This window comes from Homo sapiens, chromosome 5 (genome assembly GCF_000001405.40).
Source record: "Homo sapiens chromosome 5, GRCh38.p14 Primary Assembly".
Lineage (NCBI taxonomy): Eukaryota > Metazoa > Chordata > Mammalia > Primates > Hominidae > Homo > Homo sapiens.
In genome coordinates, this window is record NC_000005.10 from 108396578 (window position 1) to 108405234 (window position 8657).

General features: G+C 41.4%; 1 annotated feature.

Moving 5' to 3' along the window:
* Positions 2608-3240: an enhancer, noted in NCBI's record as "H3K27ac-H3K4me1 hESC enhancer chr5:107734886-107735518 (GRCh37/hg19 assembly coordinates)". NCBI's record gives its function as "activates a minimal SCP1, AML or CMV promoter by ChIP-STARR-seq in naive H9 embryonic stem cells {active_cell/tissue: H9 hESC(naive)}" and the evidence as "EXISTENCE:reporter gene assay evidence [ECO:0000049][PMID:30033119]".

Consider the following 8657-nt stretch of genomic DNA (forward strand, 5'->3'; position numbering starts at 1 on the left):
ACCCACTGGCAAATGAGGCAGGGGGGCAGGACTGGAAGGACCCAAGTGGAAATTTCTTTTAGCACTCTATAATTAATACTTTATATTACTTTAAAATGCTAAAAGTGTTTTGGATGATTCCTATATTTCTTGTGGTGAAAGACTCAAGGAAAGCAGAAAAAAGATCATCTAAAACATTATTTTTTATCTTTAGAGTCTTATCTGCAAACTGAGACCAAAATTACTTCCAAAAGACTTTTGGCCCTTTCTAAAATCGGATCCTCCTTAAACGGATGAATATTACACTGAGGTATTCAGAATAGTGTACTTGTATATTTGAAGGCAATTCCAAAGAATTTTGAGAAACATTTTCAGTAACAACAGCATCATTGAATAAGTACATACATTCCATACATGATCTAGTTCCCAGTAAAATAGTAGAATAAAAACTTATTTGTAAGTTGTTACTATTTATTTATTTATTTATTTATTTATTTATTTATTTATTTTGGAGACAGAGTCTTGCTCTGTCACCCAGGCTGGAGTGCAGTGGCCCGATCTCGGCTCACTGCAAGCTCTACCTCCCAGGTTCATGCCATTCTCCTGCCTCAGCCTCTCGATTAGCTGGGACTACAGGTGCTCGCCACCACTCCCAGCTAATTTTTTGTATTTTTTAGTAGAGACGGGGTTTCACCGTGTTAGCCAGGATGGTCTCGATCTCCTGACTTCGTGATCTGCCCGCCTCAGCCTCCCAAAGTGCTGGGATTACAGATGTGAGCCACCACGCCTGGCCAGTTGTCTTGTAGTCATAAGGAATTATGAGAGCAGGACCTTTTCCTCTTCTATTTAAAAAAGCTGGAGAAATGTTACTGAGATTTTTATTTAATCAAAAAATGTTGAGTGGAATGCATTACACAGTTTCCTACAGCAACATTTTTTTGTTTGTTTGTTTGTTTGTTTGAGATGGATTCTCACCCTGTCGCCAGGCTGGAGTGCAGTGGCGCAATCTCAGCTCACTGCAATCTCCACCGCCTAGGTTCAAGTGATTCCCCCTGCCTAAGCCTCCTGAGTAGCTGGGACTACAGGTGCACACCACCACGCCAGGCTAAGTTTTTTTGTAATTCAGTAGAGACAGGGTTTCACCATGTTGGCCGGGATGGTCTCGATCTCTTGACTTCGTGCTTCTCCTGCCTTGGCCTCCCTAAGTTCTGGGATTACAGGTGTGAGCCACCACACCTGGTCCAGCAGCATTGTTAAATATGTCTTTAAGGCTTGAAGGCTAGACTGAAAAAGTTTATTCAACCCAAATGTGACTGAGCTGTAGTACTAATAGTATGCTTCAATAAACATTTGTAGCGTAGAAGAGTGAGTGGATGGATGAATCAATAGAAAGGACCAGGAAATTCACTGGGTTGTAAATTCTGGGAGGAAGGAACTAGTCTTCTATATTCATAATTGTATCCCCAACACCCTGCCACATAGTTGGATCACATGAATGATCCCAGAGCTATCCTCACTTTCCTGAGTGTATAACTGGACTTTTATAATAAATTATGTATGTCTTAACTCATTATTAAAGGATAAATGTTTTTAAAGGTAAAATTATGAATCTTGAACAAAAAAATAAAATAAAGATATGTTAAAGAATGTTTTAACTCAGTTATTGAAGGAACTAGAAAAGGGTAAAGAGCCAAATCAAGGAGATTCCAAAGAAGACACAAATAGATGTAATCTGGAGTGCTGAAATGAATTCAATAGATTCAAAATTCATCAAACTCCGAATTCCACAGGGAAATAATCAATTGCATCATGACCATCAAAAGTCATTTGAATTACTAACAGTTTACTACAACTAATAGAGTGGTAAAATACCCAAGAAGCAATAAAAGTCCCAAATAGTGAGAAAGGGTGGGGATTTGCTGGCAAGATGGCTGAATAGAAACAGCTCCAATCTTCAGCTCCCAGCAAGATCCACGGAGAAGGTGGGTGGTTTCTGCATTTCCAACTGAGTTACCCGGTTCAACTCATTGGGACTGGTTGGACAGTGGGTGCAGCCCACGGAGGGCAAAGTGAGGCAGAGTGGGGTGCCATCTCACCCGGGAAGTGCAAGGGTTTGGGGATTTCCCTCCCCTACCAAGAGAAGTCGTGAGGGATTCTGCCATGAGGAATGGTGCACTCTGGCCCAGATACTGCCCTTTTTTCATAGTCTTCACAACCCACAGACGATGAGATTCCCTCTGGTGCCTACGCCACCAGGGCCCTGGGTTTCAAGCACAAAACTGGGTGGCTGTTTGGGCAGACATCCAGCTAGCTGCAGGAGTTTTTTTTTCTTTTTTTTCATACCCCAGTGGCACCTGGAATGCCAGTGACACAGAACTCTTCAATCCCCCTGAAAAGGGACTGAAGCCAGGGAGCCAAGTGGTCTGGCTCAGCGTGTCCCAACCCCATGGAACCCAGCAAGCTAAGATCCACTGTCTTGAAATTCTCACTACCAACACAGTCTGAAGTTGACGTGGGATGCTGGAGGTTGGTGGGGGGAGGGGCATCGCCATTGCTGAGGCTTGAGTAGGCAGTTTTACCCTCACAGTGTAAACAAAACCAAAGGGAATTTCGAACTGGGTGGAGCCCACCACAGCTCAGGAAGGCCTACATGGCCAGACTGCCTCTCTAGATTCCTCCTATCTGGGCAAGGCATCTCTGAAAAAAAGGCAGCAGCCCCAGTCAGGGACTTTTAGATAAAACAGCCATCTCCCTGCGACAGAGCACCTGGGGAAAGCAGCGGCTGTGGGCACAGCTTCAGCAGACTTAAACGTCCTTGCCTGGCAGCTCTGAAGAGAGCAGCAGACCTCCCAACACAGCGTTCAAGCTCTGATAAGGGTCAGACTGCCTCCTCAACTGGGTCCCTGACCCCCGTGTATCCTGACTGGGAGACACCTCCCACTAGGGGCTGACAGACACCTCATACAGGAGAGCTCTGGCTGGCATCTGGCGGGTGCCTCTCTGGGACGAAGTTTCCAGAGGAAGGAACTGGCAGCAATTTTTGCTGTTCTGCAGCTTCCGTGGTTGATACCCGGGCAAACATGGTCTGGAGTGGACCGCCAGCAAACTCCAGCAGACCTGCAGCAGAGGGCCCTGACTGTTAGAAGGAAAACTAACAGAAAGGAATAGCGTCAACATCAACAAAAGGACATCCACGCAGAGACCCCATCCGAATGTCACCAACATCAAAGACCAAAGGTAGATAAACACGAAGATGGAGAGAAACCAGGCAAAAAGGCTGAAAATTGCAAAAACCAGAAAGCCTCTTCTCCAAAGGATCGCAACTCTGCCAGCAAGGGAACAGAACTGGATGGAGAATGAGTTTGATGAATTGACAGAAGTAGGATTCAGAAGGTGGGTAATAACAAACTCCTCCCAGCTAAAGGAGCATGTTCTAACCCAATGCAAAAAAGCTACAAACATTGAAAAAAGGTTAGACGAATTACTAACTAGAATAACCAGTTTAGAGAAGAACATGAATGACTTGATGGAGCTGAAAAACACAGCACAGGAACTTGGTGAAGCATACTCAAGTATCAGTAGCCAGATCTATCAAGCGGAAGAAAGGATATGAGAGATTGAAGGTCAACATAATGAAATAAATCAAGAAGACAAGATTAGAGAAAAAAGAATGAAAAGAAATGAACAAAGCCTTCAGTAAATATGGGACTATGTGAAAAGACTAACTCTACATTTGATTGGTGTACCTGAAAGTGATGGGGAGAATGGAACCAAGTTGGAAAACACTCTTCAAGATACTATCCAGGAGAACTTCCCCAAACTAGCCAGACAGGCCAACATTCAAATTCAGGAAATACAGATAACACCACAAAGATACTCCTCGAGAAGAGCAACCCCAAGACACATAATCACCAGATTCACCAAGGTTGAAATGAAGGAAAAAATGTTAAGGGTAGCCCATCAAATTAACAGCAGATCTCTCAGCAGAAAGCCTACAAGCCAGAAGAGACTGGGAGCCAACATTCAACATTCTTAAAGAAAAGAATTTCAACCCAGAATTTCATATCCAGCCAAACAAAGCTTCATAAGTGAACTAGAAATAAAATCCTTTACAGACAAGCAAATGCTGAGAGATTTTGTCACCACCAGGCCTGCCTTACAAGAGCTCCTGAAGGAAGCATTAAACATGGAAAGGAACAACCAGTACCAACCACTGCAAAAACATACCAAATTGTAAAGAACATTGACACTATGAAGAAACTGCATCAAATAATGGGGAAAACAACCAGCTAGCATCATAATGACAGGATCAAATTCACACATAACAATATTAACCTTAAATGTAAATGGGCTAGATGCCCCAGTCAAAACACACAGACTGGCAGATTGGATAAAGAGTCATTGGTGTGCTGTATTGAGGAGACCCATCTCATGAGCAGAGACACACATAGGCTCAAAATAAAGGGATGGAGGAATATTTACCAAGCAAACCTGAGCAGGGTTGCAATCCTAGTCTCCGATAAAACAGACTTTAAAACAACAAAGATCAAAAGAGACAAAGTGCCAAGAACAGCTCGACTGGGGAGACCCTAACCCAGTGGCGCTAGAGGAATTAAAGACACACACACAGAAATATGGAGATGTGAAGTGGGAAATCAGGGGTCTCACAGCCTTCAGAGCTGAGAACCCCAAACAGAGATTTACCCACATATTTATTAACAGCAAACCAGTCATTAGCATTGTTTCTATAGATATTAAATTAACTAAAAGTATCCCTTATGGAAACGAAGGGATGGGCTGAATTAAAGGAATAGGTTGGGCTAGTTAACTGCAGCAGGAGCATGTCCTTAAGGCACAGATCGCTCATGCTATTGTTTGTGGCTTAAGAATGCCTTTAAGCGGTTTTCTGCCCTGGGTGGGACAGGTGTTCCTTGCCCTCATTCCCGTAAACCCACAACCTTCCAGCGTGGGCGTCAGGGCCATTATGAACATGTTACAGTGCTGTAGAGATTTTGTTTCTGGCCAGTTTTAGGGCCAGTTTATGGCCAGATTTTGGGGGCCTGCTCCCAGCAACAAAGAAGGACATTACATAATGGTAAAGGGATCAATGCAACAAAAAGAGCTAACTATTCTAAATATATATGCACTCAATACAGGAGCACCCAGATTCGTGAAGCAAGTTCTTAGAGACCTACAAAGAGACTTAGACTCCCACACAATAATAGTGGGAGAGTTTAACACCCCACTGTCAATATTAGACAGAACAACGAGACAGAAAATTAACTAGGATGTTCAGGACTTGAACTCAGCTCTGGACCACGCGGACCTAGTAGGCATCTACAGAACTCTCCACCCCAAATCAACAGAATATGCATTTTTCTCAGCACCATGTTGCACTTCTTCTGAAATTGACCACATAATTGCAAATAAAACACTCCTCAGCAAATGCAAAAGAATGGAAATCATAACAAACAGTCTCTCAGACCACAGTGCAATCAAATTAGAACTCAGGATTAAGAAACTCACTCAAAACTGCACAACTACGTGGAAACTGAACAACCTGCTCCTGAATGACTACTGGGTAAATAACAAAATGAAGGCAGACATAGATATGTTCTTTGAAACTAATGAGAACAAAGACACAAGGTACTGGAATCTCTGGGACACATTTAAAGCAGTGTTTAGAGGGAAAATTGTAGCATTAAATGCCCACGAGAGAAAGCAGGAAAGATCTAAAATTGACGCCCTAACATTAAAATTAAAAGAACTAGAGAAGCGACAGCAAACAAATTCAAAAGCTAGCAGAAGACAAGAAATAACTAAGATCAGAGCAGAACAGAAGGAGATAGAGACACGAAAAACCCTTCAAAAAAATCCATGAGTCCAGGAGCTGGTGTTTATTATTATTATTATTATTATTATTATTATTATTATTATTATTATTATACTTTAAGTTCTAGGGTACATGTGCACAACATGCAGGTTTTATACATAGGTATACATGTGCCATGTTGGTTTGCTGCATCCTTCAACACATCATTTACATTAGGTATTTCTCCTAATGCTATCCCTCCCCCAGCCCCCCAGCCCCTGACAGGCCCTGGTGTGTGATGTTCCCCGCCCTGTGTCCAAGTGATCTCATTGTTCAGTTCCCACCTATGAGTGAGAACCTGCGGTGTTTGGTTTTCTGTCCTTGTGATAGTTTGCTGAGAATTTATCCATTTCTTCTAGATTTTCTAGTTTATTTCTGTGGAGGTGTTTATAGTACTCTCTGATGGTAGTTTGTATTTCTGTGGGATCGGTGGTGATATCCCCTTTATCATTTTTTACTGCATCTATTCGATTCTTCTCTCTTTTCTTCTTTATTAGTCTCGCTAGCAGTCTATCAATTTTGTTGATCTTTTCAAAAAATGGATAAATTCCTGGACACATATACCCTCCCACGACTAAACTAGGAAGAAGTGGAATCTCTGAATAGACCAATAACAGGCTCTGAAATTGAGGCAGTAATTAATAGCCTACCAACAAAAAAGAGTCCAGGACCAGACAGATTCACAGCCGAATTCTACCAGAGGTATAAAGAGGAGCTGGTACCATTCCTTCTGAAACTATTCCAATCAATAGATAAAGAGGGAATCCTCCATAACTCATTTTATGAGGCCAACATTAACCTGATACTAAAGCCTGGCAGAGACACCACAAAAAAAGAGAATTTTAGATGAACATTGATGCAAAAATCCTCAGTAAAATACCAGGAAACTGAATCCAGTAGCACATAAAAAAGCTTATCCACCACAATCAAGTCTGCCTCATCCCTGGGATGCAAGGCTGGTTCAACATATGCAAATCAATAAACATAATCCATCACATAAACAGAACCAATGACAAAAACCACACGATTATCTCAATAGATACAGAAAAGGTCTTCAGCAAAATCCAACAGTCCTTCATGCTAATAATTCTCAATTAACTAGGTATTGAGGGAACGTATCTCAAAATAGTAGGAGCTATTTATGACAAACCCACAGCCAATATCATACCGAACGGGGAAAAACTGAAAACATTCCCTTTGAAAACCGGCACAAGACAGGGATGCCCTCTCTCACCGCTCCTATTCAACATAGTGTTGGAAGTTCTGGCCAGGGCAATCAGGCAAGAGAAAGAAATAAAGGGTATTCAAATAGGAAAAGAGGAAGTCAAATTGTCTGTTTGCAGATGACGTGATTGTATATTTAGAAAACCCCATCATCTCAGCCCAAAATCTCCTTAAGCTGATAAGCAACTTCAGCAGTCTCAGGATACAAAATCAATGTGCAAAAATCACAAGCATTCCTATACACCAACAACAGACAAACAGTCAAAGTGCGAGCGAACTCCCATTCACAATTGCTACTAAGAGAATAAAATACCTACAAATACAACTTACAAGGGATGTGAGGGACCTTTTCAAAGAGAACTACAAACCACTGCTCAAGCAAATAAGAGAGGACACAAACAAATGGAAAAACATTCCATGCTCATGGGTAGGAAGAATCAATATCGTGAAAATGGCCATACTGTCCAAAGTAATTTATAGATTCAAAGCTATCCCTATCAAGCTACCATTGACTTTCTTCACAGAATTGGAGAAAACTACTTTAAACTTCATACATAACCAAAAAAACCCTGCATAGCCAAGACAATTCTAAGCAAAAAGAACAAAGCTTGAGGCATCATGCTACCTGACTTCAAACTATACTACAAGGCTACAGTAACCAAAACAGCATGGTACTGGTACCAAAACAGAGATATAGACCAATGGAACAGAACAGAGGCCTCAGAAATAACACTACACATCTACAACCTGATCTTTGACAAACCTGACAAAAACGAGAAATGGGGAAAGGATCCCTATTTAATAAATGGTTTTGGGAAAACTGACTAGCCATATGCAGAAAGCTGAAACTGGATCCCTTCCCTATACCTTATACAAAAATTAACTCAAGATGGATTAAATACTTAAACATAAGAACTAAAACCATAAAAACCCTAGAAGAAAACCTAGGCAGTATCATTCAGGACATAGGCATGGGCAAGGACTTCATGACTAAAACACCAAAAGCAATGGCAACAAAAGCCAAAATTGACAAATGGGATCTAATTAAACTAAAGAGCTTCTGCACAGCAAAAGAAACTATCATCAGAGTGAACAGGCAACCTACAGAATGGGAGAAAATTGTTACAATCTATGCATCTGACAAAGGGCTAATATCCAGAATCTACAAAGAACTTAAACAAATGTACAAGAAAAAAACAACCCCATCAAAAAGTGGGCAAAGGATATGAACAGACACTTCTCAAAAGAAGACATTTACGCAGCCAACAGACATGTGAAAAAAAGCTCATCATCACTGGTCACTAGAGAAATGCAAATCAAAACCACAATGAGATACCATCTCACACCAGTTAGAATGGCTATCATTAAAAAGTCAGGAAACAACAGGTGCTGGAGAGGATGTGGAGAAATAGTAATGCTTTTACACTGTTGATAGGAGTGTAAATTAGTTCAACCATTGTGGAAGACACTGTGGCAATTCCTCAAAGATCTAGAACCAGAAATGCCATTTGACCTGGTAATCCCATTACTGGTTATATACCCAAAGGATTATAAACCATTCTACTATAAAGACTCATGCACA